A 24,571-nucleotide genomic window follows, 5' to 3' on the forward strand; every position below is an offset into this window, starting at 1 on the left:
AGAGTAAGTATGGATAGTATGTTCTCAAGCGCTTGTAAGTTTTTGGTCTCATCAGTGCTAAAGGAAAGATAGGTATATATTCTTAATTATTTTATCTTATAACTATTAATTATCTGCTATTGCCAAGTACTGTTTTAGGCGCTAGAGATAGAGTACTAACAAAGCCCATAAAACTCACTGCCTTCATGGAGCTTACTTTCTGGGGTGGGTGTGGAGGTTGGGGAGTGAATGGATAATGAAGTAAACAAAATACGTAGTATGTTAGTGATTATTACTATGGAGAAATTAAAGCTGGGAGAAGTATACTTGATCGTCATAAGAGTTTGGGTGCCAAATGAAGATTATATTTAAAAGGAGTAAAATGAAGTGGCCACTGTTTTAGGATGGTCTGACCTTATCCCATTTTTATATTTAAGATATCTGGAAATCATGTTTTTGTATTAATAAAATGAAAAAGATTCGATAATGGCATGGTATTACCATCCAGTTCTAAAGTGGTTTAATTCTGTGATTTGAGTACAAAGGTATGCCAGACTTGGGAGAAATAACAGAGAAATAATACCTGTTATATTCCTGGTTTGTCTACAAGCATTCTAATTTTGTATTATACAAAATGGTTCTCTGGTCCCCATCTTCTAAGTGAAAATGAGCTCAGAAGGGCTAAATAACTTGCCCAAAGTCACATACCTAATAAAAGAACCATGATTCTAATGTGATACTATTTGACTCTAAAGTCCATGTATTTTCCCTAATATCACAGTGCTAAGTAAAGATTGCCAGTAATAAATACTTTTAATTCAGAGCAGCAAGAGATTACCATACTGGTTAAGAGTGACAAGAAGTTGAAAAGACAGTTTAAAATAAAGTTAAAGGGAAACATAGGAGTTAATGTAGGTAGAGAGAAAGGGAGAGAGCTGCACAAGAATGCCAGGACAATGGAGGGAAGGTGGGTAGAACATTCTAGTTGTAATGGAGAAGCTTTTCAAAGGAATCGAGAGAGGGAAAGTTGTGAGGACTGGATAGACCTCATCTCACATTCAGCATTGTTCAAAAGAGTTTGGAAATGTACAGTTTTTAAGCAGACAAGTCATACGATGAAAGCAGGACTTAGCTCCTGGTGGTAGTGTGCACAGTGGATTGGAGTAGGGAGAAACTGAAGTAAAAAGAATCCACCTTTATAATAAAGAAGGTTGGCATGTGGTAATGTCATTAGCAATAAGAAAGAAATGACAAAAGATACAAAAGAGACTACTCTAGAAGAATCAACAAACCTTGGTGACTGGATTTAGAAATCAAAGAACAGGGAGAAGTCAAAGGAGGTGCTAAGTAACGTTCTCAGTCCAGCTAACAGTGTCTTTAGTTATACATATGGAAAAGTGAAGAGCTTACTCATATCTTTATCTTCCCCAAAAGAGAAAACATGGGTAATTTAGGAAGATAAGCTGCTTTATTTTTAACTGCAGTGTGTTTTGAAAGAGACTATGTCATGATTCATCTTACTAGCCTCAAACATATCTTCTTTGCCAGGACTCGCCTCTGCACAAAGCCCTCTTTTGGGTAGCTGTGGCTGTGCTGCAGCTTGATGAGGTCAACTTGTATTCAGCAGGTACCGCACTTCTTGAACAAAACCTGCATACTTTAGATAGTCTCCGTATATTCAATGACAAGGTAAGCAAACTTTGCCTTGAGGTTCCTAGATTACTCAAATTTAGTACTCTTCCATCTTTTCTTGTTGCTATTCTTTTAAAATCACAAGAAGTCCATAACTTAAGTAGGAATTTGTATAATGTAACTTATTGTGAGTATATTTCCTTACCAGCTCATAAAGAACTATGTAAACTTGAATGCATATTTTTTACATAAAAATAGCAAAAAAAAAAAAACAAAAAAAAAACAGTACTGGCCTAATACTAGTAGAATTACAGAATAAGGATAAATAATACATGATCATCCTTACAGAATGAGCATAAACAATACATGGTAATAATATTAATAGCTACCATGCCAGGCCGTATGCTAAACACTATACATTTATTTTTAATTTTCATAACCTTAAGGTAAAGGTTAGCATTCTCTGCCCCCCATTTCACACGTGAAGAAATAATCTAAAAGTAATCTTAGTTTTACTTAATAATGCCACTTAATGAAAAATACGTATAATTCATAGTAGATAAGGAAGTTGGAGAGTCTAAAGGAAACTTTTGGGTACTTAATTTTACTAGTTTTTTTATTCTGTCTAATCTTACTTTAAAATATACCATTAGTGGCCAGGAGTGGTGGCTCATACCTGTAGTCCCAGCACTTTGGGAGGCCAAGACAGGTGGATCAGTTGAGCTCAGGAGTTAGAGAACAGCCTGGGCAACTTGCAAAACCCCATCTCTACAAAAAAGGCAAAAATTAGCTAGGCATGGTGGCATGCACCTACAATCCCAGCTACTCGGGAGGTGAGGTAGGAGGATTGCTTGAGCCTGGGAGGCAGAGGTTGCAGTGAGCTGAGATCACGCCACTGCACTCCAGCTTGGGCAACAGAGCAAGACCCTGTCTCCAAAAAAAAGTGTGTATACATATATTACATACACACATATATATGTAATGTATGTGTATATATATATATAAAGTGTGTGTGTGTGTGTGTGTGTGTGTACACACATAAAATATGTAAAATCCAACTCCAATTAAGGTTAATAAATGTTAGGAGGGGTGCTAATGGGGTGTGTGTGTGTGTGTGCACGTGTGCATGTGTGTGTGTATATATATATGAACATGGGCAAATTACTTCTTAGTTCCTTTCTAATTTGTAAAATGGAGATCTAATTGGGGTTGGATTTTAGTTCATAGAGAATAGAGGAGAGAATAAAATAGTATGAAATTACGTCCCTTTTGTCTTTGGATAAAAATGGGAAGGGTCTAGGAGAAAAGAGGGGAATGTTTTTAAAAGAATGTGTATATACAGTGAGATTTGCTTGAAGTGAAATTAACTGAACTGTGGGTACAAAGAACAGGATTATGGTTTTAAGTGTAAAAAGATACTTGGTCTAAACATTATTAGTTCAGTCTACCAGATGTAGTGTGAACCTGGAACAGATATGGGTCTGAAAAATATAGAAGCAAAATTTTAGAGGTAAGAGGTCTTATGGAGTTTATTAATCAGACCTCCATTTTGCAAATTAGAAAGGAACTAAGAAGTTAAGTAACTTGCCCATGCTTGTACATCTGTTTTGGGACTAGAACCCCTCTGTCCTAATTCTCATTGCCGTTTTTCTAAAACTGTTTTGGGACAGTGGTGGTCAGCGATATCTAGTTGTTGGCTATTTATATGTTAAGAATATTTGCAAATTGGCCGGGTGCAATGGCGCATGTTTGTAATTCCAGCACTCTGGGAGGCCGAGTTGGGAGGATCACTTGAGGTTAGGAGTTCGAGACCAGCCTGGCCAACATGGTGACACCCTGTCTCTACTAAAAATACAAAAATTAGCCAGGGTGGCACATGTTTGTAACTCCAGCGACCTGGGAGGCTGAGGTGGGAAGATCTCTTGAACCCAGGAGGTTGCAGTGAGCCAAGGTGGTGCCACTGCACTCCAGCCTGGGCGACAGAGTAAGACTCCATCTCAAAAAAAGAATATTTGCAAATGGAGCATTGCAAATGGGGCATCTGCCTCGGTATTTTCATCTTCAAAACAGCCCAGTAGCGGGAGCTAATATTGATTCTAGTGCCCTTTGGATGCTAGGCATCAGAGTTAATAAGCATGTTAAAAGTCACCGGGATGTAAATTGACAGTCATTTATTTTGTATTGTAAATAAAAGTGATTTCATCTTCCACCATCTTCTTATTTATATGCTTGACTGTCTTGCACCAGTTAATTTGTAGTAGCTAAAATGTTCTGTGGTTTTCTGCAGTCAACTGAAAATAATTTCTCTCAAATTGAAAGGATTACTTATCTTGTCATACTATTGAACACAAAATTAAGTGAGCCTTTAAAGAAAGCTACTGTGTGAACCTCATCAACCATCTCATGATTATCTTTAATAGAGTCCAGAGGAAGTATTTATGGCAATCCGGAATCCTCTGGAGTGGCACTGCAAGCAAATGGATCATTTTGTTGGACTCAATTTCAACTCTAACTTTAACTTTGCATTGGTTGGACACCTTTTAAAAGGTAAAAAAGCCTTATTTAGAATATTTTTATGAAGTACTATTAAGAAACCAGAAGTAATTTGAATAAGTGATTACTTGAAATAAATTGAAGTAAGTTAGCCCTTATGTCTTACTTTAAATGCAAACTAGGCCAGGCGTGGTGGCTCACGTCTGTAATACCAACATTTTGGGAGGCTGAGGCAGGAGGATCACTTGAGGCTAGGAGTTTGAGGCCAGCCTGGGCAACATAGTGAGACTTCATCTCTACAGAAAATTTAAAAATTAGCCAGGCATGGTGGCACGTGCTTGTAGTCCCAGCTACTTAGGAGGCATAGATGGAAGGATTGCTTGAGCCTGGGAAGTCGAGGCTACAGTGAGCCGTGATCACACCACTGCACTCAGCCCTAGGTAACAGAGTGAGACTTTGTCTCAAAAAATAAATAAATAAATGCAAACTATATCTGTCTTAATGAGTTGTGTTTTATTCAATATGTGTTTTAAGAGAGCTTCATTTCCAATTCAAATATCAAATTTGCCTGAAAAACAAAAGAGTTTATTCTGGCTGGGTATGGTGGCTCACACCTGTAGTCCCAGCACTCTGGGAGGCCAAAGCAGAAGGATCTCTTGAGCTTAGGAGTTCGAGACCAGCCTGGGCAATATGGTGAAACCCCCTTTCTACAAAAAATAAAAACATTAGCCAGGTGCGGTGGCACATGCCTATAGTGCCAGCTACTTGGGATGCTGAGGAAGGAGAATCACTTGAGCCCAGGAGGTCAAGGCTGCAGTGGGCCATGATCGTGCCACTGCACTCCAGCCTGGGTGACAGAGTGAGACCCTGCCTTTAAAAAAAAAAAAAAAAAAGTGTTGATTCTTACAAAAACCTACATACTGAGTCTGATAATAGCTATATTAATAGTAACAATACCTAAGTATCTTACTGATTTTCAAAATGAAACAGACTGCAAATCACTAAGTGTTATTTGAATAATTTATATTAGAAAATGTTAAGAGATTTGATCACAGATTTTCTTCAACTTGTTTATAGTTTATTGTTGATTAATACTATTATTTTATACCATTGTACATCACCTTTCTGGCACCCTATTCTCACCCCTTTCTATATTGCTTATAGCCAGTGATCTCCAGCTATTCCTCAGAGCCCGCTCATTCACTTCCTAACCTGGTTTTACTCCCCGTTGCTGACTTCACAGCTTGTTAACTTTGGTTCATTAACATGGGGCAGTCATGGCCAGAGACTGCAGTTAATAAGAACAGCATGTAGTGGTGGGTCAGAAGCAAAGCAGGATAAAGTAAGACCTGGGATAAGGAGCTGGCATGAACCCCAGTGGTCTCAGAAGTGGATTTGGCCACAATAGAGATTCAAGCTATAGCTTGAGTCAACAATTTTGTATTAATTTAAATCATAGGCTTGAGGGACCATGGAGATTCTCCCAGTTTTTATGAGAGAGAGAGAGATATGCATACACCCACTATTGTGAATGTATGCATTTGATTTCACTTTCTTATGAAATTTCTACAAAAAATATTGACAGTGTTAATCTCTAAGGTCAATGGGGATTTCTCAAAAAATACTACCTTACTAAAGGATACCAAGATAAGTAATTGTAACTGGGCTAATAAAGTGCTTAATTATTCTTTATATCTAAAAGAATACCAGGCTGGGTGCAGCGGCTCATGCCTGTAATCCCAACACTTTGGGAGGCTGAGGCAGGTGGATTGCTTGAGGCCAAGAGTTCAAGACCAGCCTGGCCAACATGGTGAAACCCCTGCTTGAAGGCAGGAGTTCAAGACCAGCCTGGCCAACACGGTGAAACCCCATCTCTACTAAAAATACAAAAATTAGGCAGGTGAGGTGGTGCAAACCTGTAGTTTCAGCCACTCAGGAGGCTGAGGCACAAGAATCGCTTGAACCTGGGAGGCAGAGGTTGCAGTGAGCCAAGATCCTACCACTGCACTCCAGCCTTTGTGACAGAGTGACACTCTGTCTTAAAAGACAAGAAAAGAAAAGAAGACCAGATACTTTCCATGTTCAAATCACCTATTTTTAAATGGGGGAAGGATTAATGATTAAAAGCTGGCCAAAGATCAAATTTATCCTCTAATCAACCCTATTTATTGGGCTCTTAGAGCATATACTTCCTATGTCATCAGCTTTTCTTTTAATTAAAAATGTTTTTGTATTCCGCCTGCGACTCGGTCCCGGCGCTGGGCTGAGGGGAGGGGTTGTCTTAAAAGTCTCTCCTTCCCCCTGTAGGGGCGGCCGGCGAGTCCCAGTGAGAGCGGAGGGTGCCAGAGGTAGGGGGCCGAGAAACAAAGTTCCCGGGGCTCCCTCCGGGGCCGCGGTCGGGGCTGCGCGTTTGACCGCCCCCCTCCTCGCGAAGGCAATGGCTTCCAAACTCCTGCGCGCGGTCATCCTCGGGCCGCCCGGCTCGGGCAAGGGCACCGTGTGCCAGAGGATCGCCCAGAACTTTGGTCTCCAGCATCTCTCCAGCGGCCACTTCTTGCGGGAGAACATCAAGGCCAGCACCGAAGTTGGTGAGATGGCAAAGCAGTATATAGAGAAAAGTCTTTTGGTTCCAGACCATGTGATCACACGCCTAATGATGTCCGAGTTGGAGAATAGGCGTGGCCAGCACTGGCTCCTTGATGGTTTTCCTAGGACATTAGGACAAGCCGAAGCCCTGGACAAAATCTGTGAAGTGGATCTAGTGATCAGTTTGAATATTCCATTTGAAACACTTAAAGATCGTCTCAGCCGCCGTTGGATTCACCCTCCTAGCGGAAGGGTATATAACCTGGACTTCAATCCACCTCATGTACATGGTATTGATGACGTCACTGGTGAACCATTAGTCCAGCAGGAGGATGATAAACCCGAAGCAGTTGCTGCCAGGCTAAGACAGTACAAAGACGTGGCAAAGCCAGTCATTGAATTATACAAGAGCCGAGGAGTGCTCCACCAATTTTCCGGAACGGAGACGAACAAAATCTGGCCCTACGTTTACACACTTTTCTCAAACAAGATCACACCTATTCAGTCCAAAGAAGCATATTGACCCTGCCCAATGGAAGAACCAGGAAGATGTGGTCATTCATTCAGTAGTGTGTGTAGTATTGGTGCTGTGTCCAAATTAGAAGCTAGCTGAGGTAGCTTGCAGCATCTTTTCTAGTTGAAATGGTGAACTGATAGGAAAACAAATGAGTAGAAAGAGTTCATGAAGAGGCCCTCCTCTGCCTTTCAAAAGGGTGGTCACCTACACATGTTTAAGGTGTCTCTGCACATGTCTCAAGCCCATCACAAGAAAGCAAGTACAGTGTGGATTTCAAATGGTGTGTAACTTCAGCTCCAGCTGGTTTTTGACAGCTGTTGCTGTGGTAATATTTTTTACATGTGATGGTGATAGTCTCTGGTTCTCCCCATCCCCACAAAGGCTGTTGAACCACAGCACCAGGAAGCCTGAGAATGAATCCTGAGGGCTCTAGCCCAGGCTTTGTCCCAGGCTTTCTGGTGTGTGCCCTCCTGGTAACAGTGAAATTGAAGCTACTTACTCATAGTGGTTGTTTCTCTAGTCTTGAGTGACTGTGTCCACAGTTCATTTTTTTCCGGTAGGAATAACTCCTTTTCTACATCCACACTCCATAGAGTCTCTCCTTTTCAGACATCCTGGGATGAAAGAATTTGGCTTTTTTTTTTTTTTTTTTTTTTACATCTGTTTTCACTCTTAGGCTTTTAAACAATAGTTATTGCTCTTATCCCTCTCAGATTCTAATAACTGAGAGCGATGGGGCTATATTGAATCTCTGTATGCACTGATAACTGAGCTATGAAGAGGATCTTATTAAACTGCTGGTCTGACTCTATGGATTGACACTGTTCCTTTCTTTTATTGTGAAAAAAAAAACCCCTGAAAGTCTTGGGAACCCCCTAAAGTCTTTTGGGAATCCTCAAAAAGCATGGGAAGTTAAGTATTTAGCTACATAAATGTTGTAAGATCATATCTTATGTATAGAAGTAATAAGACCATTTGGAATTACTGGACTAATTGAATAGTTAAGGTTTCTATTCGGGACAATAAAATGTATTTTGAAAGTGCTGCTAACTATTGATGCTGACAGTGTTTCACTCCTATGAGTGACCCAAACATATTATAAATATGTGGTAAAGGGAATGGAGCCTGTGGGGTTGAGCAGAATGTTGTACTAGCTGTGCCTGGACTGAGTATAACAGCTTTATGATTATGAGAAAACAAATTCTTTATTTTTTTTTCTGTTCCAAAGATTCATCCTATGGGGTGGCCATAAAGTCTAGAATTAGATACTAATATTTTGTCATTCATTATAACATATCGATAAACCATTTGTTAAAAGATTTGCCTGGTTTCCAGACTTGGTGGCCACCTTGAATAATTCTTGCTGTCTTCTGGGAAGGATGATGAAATTTATTCCTGCTGCCTTAAAAATATGTATCCCTTCTTCACCCATCATGACTGTCCCCAGTGAGTGTCCTTTACTATTCTTGGGAGTGACTCCTGTCTAACTTTTCATACTGGCGAGAAGAAAAGAAGCCTATTTTAACACTTTAGTGGTGTTGAAACACATTACTTACTTTCTGAAGATGTCCCAGTGAATCCTCTGTCAATTCACTGCCATATGTAATCTATATGATAAGGAATGCATCTTCCTTCTAAGTACTGCCCAAACTCTTGCCAGCTCCTCTCCCATTGTCCCTTCATGTGAATATTTCTTGGCTACCTTAGTGGAAATATAGATCAGTCTTCTCCCCATCCATCCTCTCAAACATAATGAGATTGTTTACTTTTTAGATTTATGCAGTGAAAATGCCCAGTCAGGTCTGAATCGTCAGTGCATTATATTGACTCTGAGCACTTTAGAATTTAGAGTTGCAATTGAATGCCAGCTGTGGAGATGGGGTGCATATCAGATATATAAATAAAGCTCAGGTTTGCTAGGGAACCAGGTATAGAGAAAAATAAGTCTGATATGAGGAAGGAAAATTGCACAATTTAGAGTAGTTATGCCATAGAGAAAATTTCCACAAACTAGGAAATGTAGAGAGTTATTCTATAGAATACTCAAAAGAGGAAAGTATGTGATTTTTGGAAACAGGAAAATCTTCAAACTTCTTTCTTCACTTCCCTTTGTGTTTAGCTGACCCTCCAATGTGATCATTGCCTTTGGAGTTTGGGAGAGGTACGGGAAGTGGCCTGATCCCTGCTTCCATACTTCACTCCTCCATCCATCCTTCCCTCCCTCTTCCCCTCCAGCTAAATGGACAATTCTAGCCAACATTGAGTCACTCAATAAGTCTCAACAGTGGGTGTGTTTGCTGAGATTGTCCAGCAGTTGAGCAGTTTGGTCTCACCTCCCTCGCTAGTTGAGACCAAAAAGAGACAAATAACTTTTTCATGGTCTTTGAAACATAATGCTTATTTCGTGGTCAATGGCTTTAAAAAAATCTGTTTCTTGTTTTCTTCAACAAACTCACTAGTTTTCCCTTAACTGATATTGTAAAAATTAAAGTAATCTTGAAAATGTTTTGACAAAAGTAAAATTAAAGGGACATCTTTTCTTAAAAAAAAAAATGTTTTTGTAAAAGAACCCTATTTTCAAATGAAATCTTAAGGAGAATTATAATACATAGATTTTTTTTTTTAATCTCTGTGCTGCTTTAGGGAATAGAAGATCTGAAAGACTATCATGTTTTTTAATTTTCCTCTTCCTGGAGTACTGTAGAGTTCTAGGGAATATTATATTCTACACATTTTTGGTACTTAATCTTATACATAATTAATTATTCTCATTCACATATGCATGTTTTACCTTCCCAAATGGCTATTCTTGGAAAGTAGGAGTTATATTTCCTTTCCTTGCAGAGTTGTTAGTCAGGGAAGAAGACCTCAGCAGATGCTTGTTCAAAAAATTAATTCTTACTTGTTTGTTTGTTTGTTTGTTTGTTTTTTGTAGGGTACAGGCATCCTTCACCTGCTATTGTTGCAAGAACAGTCAGAATTTTACATACACTACTAACTCTGGTTAACAAACACAGAAATTGTGACAAATTTGAAGTGAATACACAGAGCGTGGCCTACTTAGCAGGTAAAAACACAAAATAAACAAAATTAATCTTGCTACATCTATATATAAGGATCACCCAAAAAGTACAAATACCTATAGGTTTTTTGGCGGTTGCGTGGCAGAGCAGAAAGTTCACAGTCTAGTCCTTTAGTGGTGGTTACAATTTTGAGAGTTTTGCCAGAACATTTTTCTGTAGGAAAAAATTTAATTCCCATTAAAATCTGAAATGTGTTCCCTTGGTCATCTTTGGTTCAAGACACTACAGTGGCTCTCTGTTATCTGTCATAAAATCTGAATGCTTCAGTCTAGCACCCTGGGTCCTTAAATAGCCCTCTCAGTTCTGTTATCTTTCTCTAAATTTCATGAGCCTCATTTTTTATTACCACTCCAAATGGATGAGCTATTTTAAGCTAATCTACTTGCCATCTCCTACAAGCAACTGCCTCTTCAATATTCATTCCTTATGTCATTTTATCTGGAGTATCTGCCCTATCCCCACCATTCCATTAAAGCTTCCTATTTGCTCTTATCTGATTTTTGTTTCTCTACTCAGCAACACTTAGCACTTATGTACAATACAATTCTTGAACATAGTTGTTTGATAGAAAGTGCTGATTCTCAGTTTCACAGACTTGTATTTGTTCAACTTTTTTGTTTGAACCGTATCATCTTGAGCAAATCATTTAACATCTCAGTATTTTTTCTCATTCAGCTTAATAATACCTGCCCTGCCTACTTTGTGTTTGTTAAAGATCAAATGTATATTAAAGAACTTGGAAAATAAAAGATGCTTATTAAATCTCTCTGTATATTTCACATTTATGTAGTCTTCCAAAATATGTGCACATTTAACAGGTACTATGCTCTTTAGGAGACTGTAAGAAGTTCATCCTGTTTTAAGTCACACTTGTGATTTGTTAAATTTTTTAACCTGCCACCGTTTTCCTTTTAGCTTTACTTACAGTGTCTGAAGAAGTTCGAAGTCGCTGCAGCCTAAAACATAGAAAGTCACTTCTTCTTACTGATATTTCAATGGAAAATGTTCCTATGGATACATATCCCATTCATCATGGTGACCCTTCCTATAGGTAAGTGGATTTACTCTCCTATAATTACATAATCATAATCAAGTTTCAATTTTCCAACTAATGGAGGCAAGCAGCAGAGTAATCTAGAAGGTAACATGGGAGAAATCTAGAGATGGCCTAGGAAGAGTAAGTGAAACTCATTTTATAAATGTGTGGTATTTTATGTGGGTTAGTAGGAAAGTTATTCTTCCAGTCTGATTGTGCTAATGTTAACATTAGTTTGCCTCTGAAGCACAGACCAAATGAACAATGAAAAGAGATGCTCTTGAAAATATTAGGTTGCAGGGGAAGGGCCTGGGGAAAAAAACTAACGCGAAATATAAACAACACATTACGTGCTTGGATAGAGAACGAATCTATACAGATTTGTAAAAATACAGGCATGCTAACACATTTGTTGTATTTACTCATATCACACAAGTTATTTAAAAGTTTTCTATAATGTAGACATAGATGGTAAAAATTATATCTGCTATACATGGGTTTGGGTAGTATATTTTTCAGTATAATTTAGAGAAATTTCATGAAAATGGCATCATTGGGGGATTTTTCTGTATTTTCAATTAAATAAAAATATCTTTAAGGTTTAGGGACAGTGTTGAACACAGAAAAGTTATCTTCTGTTCGCAAAACTCGTATCATTCCATTTATCAACATCCTGCTTTTTGATAAAAAGACTTCAACAATTTCCTTAAGATTCTAACAATGTACGCAAAAATTTTTCAAACATGGTATTCAATAGTCTTACTTTCGTCAGTCCCATTATTATATTACTTTGAGATATGCCCTTTTTGTTATAGAAAGGGTAAAATAGTTTGCCTGTGTTCCCCTGTCAAAGTATAAATTAATATCTGATTTTCTTGGTTTTTAAACAATTGCCTATTTAGACTTAATTTTTTCTGATTTAAAAAAAATCAGTGCAATAAGTTCAAGGTCTTTTATCAACATAACTACAGTTAATGTATTTTATACTTGAAAATAGCTACGAGTAGATTTTAAGTATTCTCACCACAAAAGATAAATATATGAGGTAACACATATGTTAATTTGCTTGATTTAGCCATTCTACAATGTAAACATTTTATTTATTTTTATTTTTCTTTATTAATTTTTTTTGAGACAGAGTCTTGCTCTGTCGCCCAGGCTGGAGTGCAGTAACACAATCTCGGCTCACTACAACCTCCGCCTCCTGGGTTCAAGCGATTCTCCTGCCTCATCCTCCCGAGTAGCTGGGATTACAGGCGCGTGCCACCATGCCCAGCTAATTTTTGTATTTTTGTAGAGATGGGGTTTCACCATGTTGGGCAAGCTGGTCTTGAACTCCTGACCTCAGGTGATCCGCCTGCCTCGGCCTCCCAAAGTGTTGGGATTACAGGCGTGAGCCACAGCGCCCAGCCAATGTAAACATATTTTAAAACATCATGTTGTACACCAAGCTTGCTCAACCCATGGCCTGCAGGCCGCACGCAGCCCAGGATGGCTTTGAATGCAGCCCAACACAAATTTGTAAACTTTCTTAAAACATTAAGTGATTTTTTGGGGTTTTTTTTTTTTTTTAAGCTCATCAACTGTAGTTAGTGTTAGTGTATTTTATATGTGGCCCAGTATATTCTTCTAATTCCAGTGTGGCCCAGGAAAGCTAAGAGATTGGACACCCCTGTTGCTATACCTTTTTATTTGTCAGCTTTTAAAAATTGCAGTACAGATCTTTTTGTTCAGCATTTGGTGAGTACCTACTATGTGCAAGATACTATGGCAAGAAAGTTGATAATTCCTAGGGATACACCAAGAGTTTGTATCCTAAAGCCCTTTAAAGTGCAATTTTAAAATTAATTGATTGCTGTTGTTAGGAAATAGGACAGCCACTTGGAAGGAGCAAACGATGGTTGTATTTGTCACCATATTAATTGATTTTTCTCTATTGTTTTCATCTTTCAGGACACTAAAGGAGACTCAGCCATGGTCCTCTCCCAAAGGTTCTGAAGGATACCTTGCAGCCACCTATCCAACTGTCGGCCAGACCAGTCCCCGAGCCAGGAAATCCATGAGCCTGGACATGGGGCAACCTTCTCAGGCCAACACTAAGAAGTTGCTTGGTTAGTTTATCTAAATTATGTAGATTTTTTTTATTATTTAAAAAAATAGATATTTTTACTCTTGGAAAATTATTTGAAATTTCAGGATTATCAAAATTTTCCATGTCAGTGTAGCAAAGTTTTTGATGCCATTTAAAAGAGAGTTTGATAGATCAGTTAAGCATTATAAGTTGAGATAGAGAAATGAGAATGGGACCTTGAAACAGTTTTTTCTGAATCTTATACTAAATATTGTGACTCTCCTTATTTTGTTTTGCCTTTGCTGGCCAGCAGGGAATGGGACTCTGAGACATATTAGATAAATACCTATAAGAAAGGAAGAGTCTTGCTGCACTCAGGGGATTTAATGATATACTGTAATACTTCCCAAAATTATCATCTGAGAGAATATATGAATATGGTATGAAGCTGTAATAGTACTATTTGCCGTGCTTTCTTTGAAAAGACAAAAAGACATGCTTCTCAATTACCGAAAGAAAATAGGATTCTTTTTTTTCTTTTTTCTTTTCTTGATATGAAGTCTTGTTCTGTTCACCCAGGCTGGAGTGCAGTGGCGCAATCTCAGCTCACTGCAACCTCTGCCTCCCGGGCTCAAGCAATTCTCCTGCCTCATCCTCCCTAGTAGCTGGGTTTACAGGCACACGTCACCACATCTGGCTAACTTTTGTATTTTTAGTAGAGACAGAGTTTCACCATGTTGGCCAGGCTAGTCTTGAACTCCTGACCTCAGGTGATACACCCTCCTCGGCCTCCCAAAGTGCTGAGATTACAGGCATGAGCCACCATGCCCGGCCGGAAGATAGGATTCTTGAAATTAAGATTGCTCAGTTACATCAACATTTATAGAATTTTTGTCTCTGAGAAGTACACCTGAAATGCTGCGAGACTCATTTCCATTTTAGTAACTGAAAGTAAATGAATGAAAAAACCCACTAGGCCAGGTGCAGTGGCTCACGCCCATAATCCCAGCACTTTGAGGGACTCAGGTGGGAGGATTGCTCGAGTCCAGGAGTTCAAGACCAGCCTGGGCAACATGACAAAACCCATCTCTACAAAAAATACAAAACTTAGCTGGGCATGGTGACGAGCACCTCTAGTCCCAGCTACTTGGGAAGATCACTTGAGCCCAGGAGGTGGGGGTAGCAGTAAGCCAAGATTGCACCACTGCACTCCAGCCTGGGTGACAGAGTGGGACCCCGACTCCAAACAAACAAACAAACAAAAACACTGATCTTACATCGCTCCTCAGAGGAAATGCAGAGATGTTCTTGCATTCCATTGGGTAAAATTGTAATTGTTACTGGAATACATTAGGATCTGTATTTCAGTAGCCAGCACTGAATGGTTCAACAGATTTCAGTTATCCATGCAAACATATTTAAGTATCTTTAGGTATTGGAAAAATGTTTGTGTTCATAAGGAAATTAGTGAACAAACAACAAATTGTAACATAAATAACGTGCCAGTAAACCGTGAAAGAAATAGAAACCATGAATGTGTCAATCACAGTTACTAGCCACATAGGTGTGTTACTGTTGTTTGAGTTCCCTTCTGTTAGTACCTTGCCATAAATAATCATTTAGGAGTTTCCTGGTTACTTTGTGTTTTGTAATTCTGGATTTTCATGCCAATGAAGTTGTAAATGAAAAACTAACCTCAGAAAAAAATATATTGAATTCATTCAACCCATGTACTAAGTGAAAAAGATAAGGTAACTGCCCTGGAAGACTTTGTAATTTGTGTCCAAGACTTATAATCAGCCAATCACAACAGCAACTCCAGGTGCCATTAAAATGATATGTCTTGATGGAGAAAGCTGGAGATCTGGGGAAATTAGAAGAAAAAAAACTGCAGAGAGGAGATAACATTTGGGCTGTGTCATAAAGATTTAATATATGCTTGCAAAATAGCAGGATAAGTAGGGGCATATGTTTAAGAGCAGTGGGGAATAGCAAGAATAAAGAAAAGGCAGGAAAGCAACTGATGATACATCATGGCATCATGGGGAATGGGGTAGGAAATGAGATGAGAAGAAGGACTAGAACTCGATTGGAAACGACTGTATGCCATGGTAAGATATTTACCCTTATCACACATTCAGCTGAGGTATTTAAGTAGGAGAAGAACATGACCAAATTTTAATTTTTGCCAAGTTTTTCTAGCAGCAATGTGGAGAGACAGGAAGAGATTTTTAGCAAGGGAACCATTTAATAAAATTGATATAGCAGTCCAAGCAAAAAAAATGGTGTGGGCCCCGCACTAATGCAGGAGCAATGGGAGAATGGAGAAGAACCAGCAGGTTTGGAGCTGGGCATAATGGTACACACCTCTAGTCCCAGGAACTCAGGAGGCCAAGGCAGGAGGATTGTTTGAGGCTGACCTGGGCAGCATAGTCAGACCCTGTCTCAAAAAAAACAAAAATCAGGTTTGGAATAGGTTTCTGAAGTACAATGGACATGACTTAGTGACCAATTGTTGCAGGTGGGGAAGGGGAGAAGACTGTGAAGGATGTCAGAAGCTTTTAGTTTTAAAAACTGTCTAGATAGTGATACCATTCATAGAGATCAGGACTAATACGTTCACAGTACATGATAAATTTAGGTTGATTACATTTGATATATTTTCAAGACATCTATGAGTATATATCTAAGAGATAAACCACAAGATGTACCTGGAATTCGGGAAGAAAGTAAACAAGTAAACATTTAGAATTGATTAGCTCACAGATAGTTGAAGCTATGGAAGCAGAATGAGATCTTCCAGGAAGAATGCAGAGAATAAAATAAAAAGGACAAGTGAGAAAGGAAGGAAAACTAAATGTAGAAAGTAGTGTCCCAATCTCATGTACTTTGGAAAGCACTGACTGGTTTTAGAAAACCTGAGTTTTCCATCTGGTCATTGTCTAGATCCCTAGCCATGCTACCTCAGACTAATTACTTAACTGCTCATGGCTTCATCAGTGTACATGTGCATGAAACGAAGAAGCCGGACTAGATCCCTTTGGACTGTTAAATTATTTGGCCTTGGTATTTATGACTATTATGAATAGTTATTCATATTCTTGAGGTAATAGACTTTGTATTTCTCAAGTGTTAAATTGTCAGATTTTATTATATTGGCTTTAATTCTGGCTTTAATAAAATAATACTGTTGGCCGGGCATGGTGGCTCATGCCTGTAATCCCAGCACTCTGGGGAGACCAAGGCAGGTGGATTGCTTGAGCCCAGGAGTTCGAGACCAGCCTGGGCAACATGGAGAAACCCTGTCTCTACTAAAAATAGAAAAATCAGCTGGGTGTGGTAGTGTGTGCCTGTAGTCCCAGCTACTGGGGAGGCTGATGTGGGAGGATCACCTGAGCCCAGGATGTGGAGGTTGCAGTGAGCTGAAATCATATCACTGCACTCCAGCCTGGGCCACAGAGCGAGACCCTATCAAAAGAAAAAAATAGTGTTAATACATGATTACATGATTAGAGAAACTAAAAGCCAAATGGGAGATAATGCTACTTGCTATTTTTGAAGCATCTCCCAGTGTATCTGGTTTTTAGTATTTTCAGGCATGCATATCTTTTTTTCAAAGCTTAAAAAATTAAAATCAAACTCTGCTTTCTTCCTAAGCTTGGAAATTACTCATGTATTAATGAGTAGTTCTTGGCACCAGCAGCGTTTCTTAAACTGAAAAGACTGGTCAGACATAGTTGACCTTTGCTACTGAATAATGCCTACCATTGCATTTATTATCAGTTATCATATTTGTTGATTTACCTCCAGTGTAGTTTGGTTTACCTCCAGTGTACAGAATACAATCTCAGTTTAATTTGCACCAGTAAGGTGCAACCTATCCTGAAACAGAAAGCTATGGGAACAAAACCCTTTGAGAAGATGGAAAATAAAGGAAAGAAACTGCTCCAGGGATGTATTAGAGCTTTCTTTGAGTCCTCAGTGAAAGCTTAAACACTTTATGTCCAAACATTTTCTTTTTAGTGTATTCCCATTTATAGACACTGTAGTTAATGAACTTGCATATTCTTAACTTTTGTTTATAGGAACAAGGAAAAGTTTTGATCACTTGATATCAGACACAAAGGCTCCTAAAAGGCAAGAAATGGAATCAGGGATCACAACACCCCCCAAAATGAGGAGAGTAGCAGAAACTGATTATGAAATGGGTGAGAAACAAAGTATTGATCTAGATCATTGAAAATAAGGTGGGAGAGTACATGAAAGTCATGTTTATTTTCCAGCCATTTCTTAGAATCTTTAGAGTGAAATATAGAAACGTTTGCCATTTCTCAAAAGATAAACTCTACCATTCAAGACAGTTATCTTGAAGCTTGTGTAAAAATTAATCATATATATTATATACAGCATTGTAAATAGGTAGCCAAAACTTTTGTGTAGGCGAATAGTAATTCTCTATGATGTTTATGTTAGTATTTTAAGTATCTACTAAAGAAAGCTGTTGAATTTTAGAAGTAACATTGAAATAGTTAGGTGAAGTGATTATCCAGGTGTTTGATCACGTTAATTCCCTATCTTGCTGCAGAAACTCAGAGGATTTCCTCATCACAACAGCACCCACATTTACGTAAAGTTTCAGTGTCTGAATCAAATGTTCTCTTGGATGAAGAAGTACTTACTGATCCGAAGATCCAGGCGCTGCTTCTTACTGTTCTAGTAAGGATTTCCCCTTTTTGAGTCCCCCACCCTCAAATTTTTATTCCAGTCTACTTTTAGGAGGCCCTTAAATATTAAAAACATGAATAGGATACAGTCTTCTACTTCTCACCCAAACAGATAACAATTCAGCCACAAAGTAAAAATGTTGTGTGTTTACTTTTTTGCATCTTGGCAGGCTACACTGGTAAAATATACCACAGATGAGTTTGATCAACGAATTCTTTATGAATACTTAGCAGAGGCCAGTGTTGTGTTTCCCAAAGTCTTTCCTGTTGTGTAAGTATCTCCTTTTGATTTTAATTCACCTTCGTGCCTGTCTTTAAGTTAAATGCTTACCCAGTAATGTGCACTGGTTGCAAAGAGGGCAAAATGAGATATTGTGATAGTGATTTTAGCTTTGAGACAGTAGGTTTAATGAGGGTTAAGATTAGTTTTGACCTACTAGATCTATTAGAAAGTTTATAAGGAAAGACTTTTAAAAAATCTGGTTGATTTATTTAAGTGGTTTATTTTGATGATCATTGCTCATTTTCCTCACTTAGAAGCAAACTATTAGACTGCTATATCTAAATCAGCATATCTGTTTTGGTTTACTTTTTAGTAGAGCTTTTGTATTTATCCACAGCTGAGTGAAAACAAAATTGACCTTCTGTTTAGGAGGTGAATTGTTTACTCTCTCTTAAGGACTAAAAAATATTAACCTCAAAGTGTTCAAATTTAAATAGTTCAAATAAATTCTTTTCCTGATCTAGGCCTTCTATATCATGTCATTATTTTCTTTTTTTAATCTCATGTTAGAATTTTAGAGAGTTAGAACTCAGTTATTTTTATTAATGGAGTGTAGCCGGGTTAGAAATAATTTTTTTCCTAAGTTTCAGTTGGATCATGTATTTCACTCCCTCTAAACTATTTTGCTTTCCCTATTTGATCTGACTCAGCATTTTAAAAGCACTGATTAACATTAAATTTAATTTTTTTCTTTTTGTTTTGCACAGATCCTAAATTTAGTTTTAACTTCCTAAGCGCATGTCAGTATACAACAGATGGAAATAGTACTAAAACATGCTAAGTAGCAGACAGAGCCAACCTTGTCTTAAGCAAACATTTACCGTATATGGTTACACATGGTTATATGACACTACCAGTTGTTTGTTTTCACAATTTCTTCCCTGGTGACTAAAAACAAAAGACAAACAAAAACAGACACACACACATGTTCATTGTAGAAAATTTGGAAAATGAAGAAATGCCCCAGAAAGTAAAAAGCACTCATCTCCCTTTAATTTTGGCACATTATTCTGGGGAATGTATATTATGTTTTCCACTACATATTTTCATTTAATTTTCCTCTAAAATGTTCCTCTGTTGACTTTTTTTTTCTTTTAGGCATAATTTGTTGGACTCTAAGATCAACACCCTGTTATCATTGTGCCAAGATCCAAATTTGTTAAATCCAATCCATGGAATTGTGCAGAGTGTGGTGTACCATGAAGAATCCCCACCACAATACCAAACATCTTACCTGCAAAGTAAATAAATGTATCTGGAGAAGGATGGTTGATGAACTTGCTAACATGCGCGCTGTTGTAGAATGCACTGACTACAGAATTCTTTATAAGGGATAGACTTGTTCATACTTTTATTTCCATATTCCATTTTTTTACTCTCTCAACTGTATGTCCAATGTAACTGGTTGACAACTTTTTATGCTGAGTATATTTTAAGTAGGTTTTAGTTGCTTTGACACTCATTCTAAAAACATGTTTTCAACATGTACATAGGGTTTATATATCATCAGCTATATGACTTATTTAATTTCTGTTACAATTAAAAGATACCTTGCTTGTTATAAGAGTAAAATTTGATTTGTTGCAGGTTTTGGTTTTAATGGCTTGTGGCGGTTTGCAGGACCGTTTTCAAAGGTAAGAAAATATATTTTTCTCTAACTTTTGGCAAAATGAAGGTTTCTGTTCAAATTAGTATGCCTGCTTTAAGAACACACAATGTGCTGAAAACCAGAAAAATAATTCACAATAAACACATATGTTACTTTTATAAAAAGTTTCTCATCACAAGGTTTTTTTCCAGGAGGCAGCATGGTGTTGGGGTGTGTGTATTCACTTTTACAAACAAAGTCAACTTATGATCAATTTTTCAGAAGAGTATGATAAACCTCTGTGATACTTTTCTGCCACAGTCCCTTGTGTATTTGATAATCTTAATGCACACAGTTAGATATCTTATGACTAGCAAGGAGCATTACCATGGTTAAAATCTATTTCATGAAAACATTTTTATTTCCAGCCTATTAGATTAGATTAATTTCTCTCTGGATTTGTCCTCATTTGCTCTTATTCAGTTTTTTTGTTTGTTTGTTTGTTTTGTGAGACGGAGTCTCACTCTGTCTCCAGGCTGGAGTGCAGTGGCGCAATCTTGGCTCACTGCAACCTCTGCCTCCCAGGTTCAAGCGATTCTCCTGCCTCAGTCTCCCGAGTAGCTGAGACTACAGGCATGCAGCACCACGCCCAGCTAATTTTTGTATTTTTAGTAGAAACAGGGTTTCACCATGTTGGCCAGGATGGTCTTGATCTCTTGACCTCGTGATCTGCCCACCTCGGCCTCCCAAAGTGCTGGGATTACAGGCATGAGCCACCGCACCTGGCCTCAGTTTGTTTTTTGATTGGCATTAGTTTATGTAGTGCTACATAAGATGTATATGATCATTTTCTCTGTATGTGGGCTCTCTCCAAATTGATCAAAGTTCCTTGAAGACAGGGTTTCTGTTTCTTCCTTAAACAGTTCCTGGTGCAGTGTTTTAGATACAGGGGGTGCTAAATCAATATGAATTGTATAAACCTTGTTCCAGTTTTTAAGAATTGGGTATTTTATTTATTTCCTTTCACTATTACTTGAATATCTGTCAACATGCAAAGGTTGTCACTTAAAAAATGGGCCTGAAGTTACAGAAATAAGTATATCATACAGAAGTTTTTGCATTTGGATTGCCAGTAACCCTCTGAGCCCTTTACAGTGTCTAGTGAGTGGAATCTAAATGGCAGCTGGAATGATGATGCTCTGCTCATTTTCTCTGTTTTGGAAAATTGGCTAGACATCATTCCTGGTGATTGTATTGTCTCAGTATTACATTCAGTCTGTCTTGTGCATGGCTTTCAGAAAATGCAGGTTCATCTGGAAGCTTTAAGCTGAATAGAACTCCCTGTTGTAAGTCCTATGGTAGTCTATAAATATTACTCCACTCCCCTTTTTTAATGATAAGTAATACAAAGGAAGAAAAATAGTAAATTAAGTCCAAACAAAATTAATATTTTTGGCTTCAGATGGGGATTTACTTAAAAAAAAGGAACTAAAATAATTTCCTATTTTCCATTACAGCAAACACAAATTCCAGACTATGCTGAGCTTATTGTTAAGTTTCTTGATGCCTTGATTGACACGTACCTGCCTGGAATTGATGAAGAAACCAGTGAAGAATCCCTCCTGACTCCCACATCTCCTTACCCTCCTGCACTGCAGAGCCAGCTTAGTATCACTGCCAACCTTAACCTTTCTAATTCCATGACCTCACTTGCAACTTCCCAGCATTCCCCAGGTCAGTAAATGTGATCTTTATATGACTTTGAGCAACAATATAAGACACCAACATTAGGAATTCCCTTGTGATCAGTTTATAGCAAATTTTGCTCCTTTTTCTTATGAGATTCACCTTACATTTCTTCTTTACCTTGTAACTGACTTGACTTTTGTTATTCTATGAAGCTTTCTACTTTCAAACAAGTTGTACATAAGACAGTAAAATGTTAAAATGTCCACATGATATTCCAAGGTTGACAAGTTTGTAGAGTTTGGGCAGGAAGAGGAACTTAAAACACATTATTCTGTAAGTGAACAGAACTATAATTTATTTACTAGATATACTAACATTGCCCTAAGGGCCTCTTTCTCTGTCTCTGATACAGCATACTATATCAAAAAAAAAAAAAAAAAAAAAAAAAAAGAAGAAGAAGAAGAAACACAAAATCTATTAGGTACCTCACTTTCCTGCTGCCAGCAATAACTCAACCATCCATAGACCATCCTGAAAATCTGGAAGTAAATAAATAATCAAACAAAAAATTCATCTCAAGAAAATAACATCTTAAAGCCCATAAGCATATATATACCAATTCGTAATGCAACTTAGATTTGAATACACTGAGAAATACTAATAGCTAATAGCTCCAGTGGGACTGAGATAAACAAGGTGGGAGAAATGGCAAACCTACAGAACTCTGGACTTATTCAGTGTCATAGTGAATGGTTTCATACAACTCTGGTTGACCCTGGAGGTGCTATTCATTATAGAACTTAAACTATTGTGTGTGTTATTATGACAGTGAGTAATGAAGGAAAGCTTTTGTTATGGTTGTGTTTTCTATTTAGAAAGATATTCTTCTAAAATGGTTAAAAATAAAAGAAACTTTAGTTGTTTAACGTTCCATTATCTGAAAAGTTCACTTATGAAACACATCATTGTATAAGGAAAAGTTACTATATATAGTTCTTTTAAGTGTTAGCATAAATTTAAAAAAAATCCAATGACATAACTATTCTGTGATATTCAAGATCAATAAATAGAATTCCCAGTTTATGATCTCAGTTTTGCATGAACATTTCAACTTATGTAATTTTGAAGGTTCTGAAGAATTTGGCAATACCCAATTCATATTATAAACTATTATGTAATTAACTATATTCTATTAAATTCTGCTTAACAACAAAGCTTTGGTCAGCAGAGGAAACAAATTTTATTTCCACATTTGTCAGTCGCCTTACAAGTAATCCTTTTTTCCCCCAGAAGTAAGAGAAGTCTAACTTTTTTTCCCATGTAACAAGGTTTGTTTGCCCTCTGCCACTAACTCTCTAGTACAGTGTTTCTCCACGTGTGATCCCAGACCAGCAGCATCATTTGGGAGCTTGTTAGAAATGCAGATGCTGTAGTTTCACCTCAGATCTGCACAAAAAACTCCCAAGTAGAGCCCAGCCAGCAGTCAGTGTGTTAATAAATACCCCAGGCGATTCTTACACACACTAGAATTGGAGAAGCACTGCCCTGGGGTCTGCTTCTGGTCTTGCCCATTATCAGCATTTCAGCTGTGAAGGCCAGGGCAAAACTTAAAATTTACTTTTTTTACAGATACTGCAGCCACTGAATTCCTTCCTGCTTCCCCGCTGATAAACCTTTTAGCATTTTGGAGCTAGGGAACCATACAGGTAATTTAGTTTTAGGCTCACAATATTGTGTACATTGGGGAGACTGAGTTTTAGAAGAGCTGGGTTAACTGCTTTATACAGTTCTTATCTAGAACCAAGGCCAGGCCCTTTTGTACTACATTCATTGCCTTCCATGGCTGTTGTCTGTTTGATTATCTATCTACTTTCCCTTCTCCTTCTTTATTTCCTTGTTTTTGTTTGTTTATTGCTAATTCATTACTTCTGTCTGCCTTGCCTTAAGCCCACCAGTTCTTTTTTTTCTGTTGGACTATTTTCTGGGTTACTGAACAGAAGTTGAAAAGTTTTTAAAAGTCTGCTTCATCTTAACCAAGCTTTTGCCTTTTGGGCTACTAAACTGGTGTTAAACATGTCAAAAATGGTTAGTTTTTTTATTGACTTTTTTTACCCAGTCTAATTGTAGGGAAATTTCTGCCTATCTTTGCCCACTAATGGAGACAATAAAATAATCTGGATGAGAATAAAGAACCATTACAGGTTTCTCTGCTATTTGATTAGTTGCATATGTCCAGTGTTGATTGGCTATTTGCCAAATCATTTGCTTTGGTGAAACAGTCTTACTCTACAACCTTTTACTTAAAATTGTTTATTAAAATCAGAATAGGTTTTATGGCTTTGGTTCCAGTTTCAAACTAATGGTGTCACCTCCATTAGCTCTCCAAAGTTGGTGCCTTTATTCAGGCTGGAAATCTCTGACTATACACAGAAGAGATGAGGAGGTTTAAAAGTAATAGAGTTAAGTGGTATTGTGGTGTTCAACTCTTCCTGTCACTCAATTGTGTGTCATTGGTTTGACAGTTTATTTTACTACATGTTTTCAGAGAAAGGGTTTATCTTTTCAAAAGTAACCTTACTCTCCCACAAAACCCATTTGTATCTCTAAATTACAGGCTCATGTTCACAAAAGGATCCCAATTTATATGCCCAATCACTGAGTTTTTGTCATTTGCTCTTACAGAATAACTCTTAATGGTAAGAGTTGATCTTTTGTTTATAATTAGGTATATTGCTTCATATCTTTAGCTCCATGTAATCTTATATCCTTATCTCTCTCTTTTTTTTTTTTTTTTTTTGAGACAGAGTCTCGCTCTGTCGCCGAGGCTGGAGTCAGTGGTGCGATCTCGACTCACTGCAACCTCTGCCTCCCAGGTTCATGCCATTCTTCT

At 37.8% G+C, this 24,571-nt stretch overlaps 1 protein-coding gene and 1 pseudogene across 2 annotated transcripts in view, besides 4 other annotated features; both read left to right on the top strand.

Annotated features, from left to right (window-relative positions):
- Positions 1 to 24,571, top strand: part of NF1 (neurofibromin 1) — a 282,699-nt gene that overhangs the window by 244,001 nt on the left and 14,127 nt on the right. For both annotated transcript variants that reach the window (NM_001042492.3, NM_000267.4), the window contains 11 exons: positions 1,528 to 1,668; positions 4,032 to 4,158; positions 10,143 to 10,274; positions 11,206 to 11,341; positions 13,280 to 13,437; positions 17,483 to 17,605; positions 17,983 to 18,113; positions 18,292 to 18,392; positions 19,503 to 19,645; positions 19,992 to 20,038; positions 21,510 to 21,726. In NM_001042492.3, coding sequence (NP_001035957.1) covers positions 1,528 to 1,668; positions 4,032 to 4,158; positions 10,143 to 10,274; positions 11,206 to 11,341; positions 13,280 to 13,437; positions 17,483 to 17,605; positions 17,983 to 18,113; positions 18,292 to 18,392; positions 19,503 to 19,645; positions 19,992 to 20,038; positions 21,510 to 21,726 — 1,456 coding nt within the window. The remainder of the gene's footprint in view (positions 1 to 1,527; positions 1,669 to 4,031; positions 4,159 to 10,142; positions 10,275 to 11,205; positions 11,342 to 13,279; positions 13,438 to 17,482; positions 17,606 to 17,982; positions 18,114 to 18,291; positions 18,393 to 19,502; positions 19,646 to 19,991; positions 20,039 to 21,509; positions 21,727 to 24,571) is intronic.
- AK4P1 (adenylate kinase 4 pseudogene 1) lies at positions 6,339 to 8,724 on the top strand (annotated as a pseudogene).
- Positions 12,426 to 12,738: a mobile genetic element, noted in NCBI's record as "direction; reverse".
- Positions 12,586 to 12,595: a non allelic homologous recombination region, noted in NCBI's record as "UAB-83 distal recombination sub-region". NCBI's record gives the evidence for it as "EXISTENCE:nucleotide sequencing assay evidence [ECO:0000219][PMID:26189818]".
- Positions 12,604 to 12,613: a non allelic homologous recombination region, noted in NCBI's record as "UAB-30 distal recombination sub-region". NCBI's record gives the evidence for it as "EXISTENCE:nucleotide sequencing assay evidence [ECO:0000219][PMID:26189818]".
- Positions 12,654 to 12,679: a non allelic homologous recombination region, noted in NCBI's record as "UAB-72 proximal recombination sub-region". NCBI's record gives the evidence for it as "EXISTENCE:nucleotide sequencing assay evidence [ECO:0000219][PMID:26189818]".

Source organism: Homo sapiens, chromosome 17 (assembly GCF_000001405.40).
Source record: "Homo sapiens chromosome 17, GRCh38.p14 Primary Assembly".
In the NCBI taxonomy this organism is placed as follows: Eukaryota; Metazoa; Chordata; class Mammalia; order Primates; family Hominidae; genus Homo; species Homo sapiens.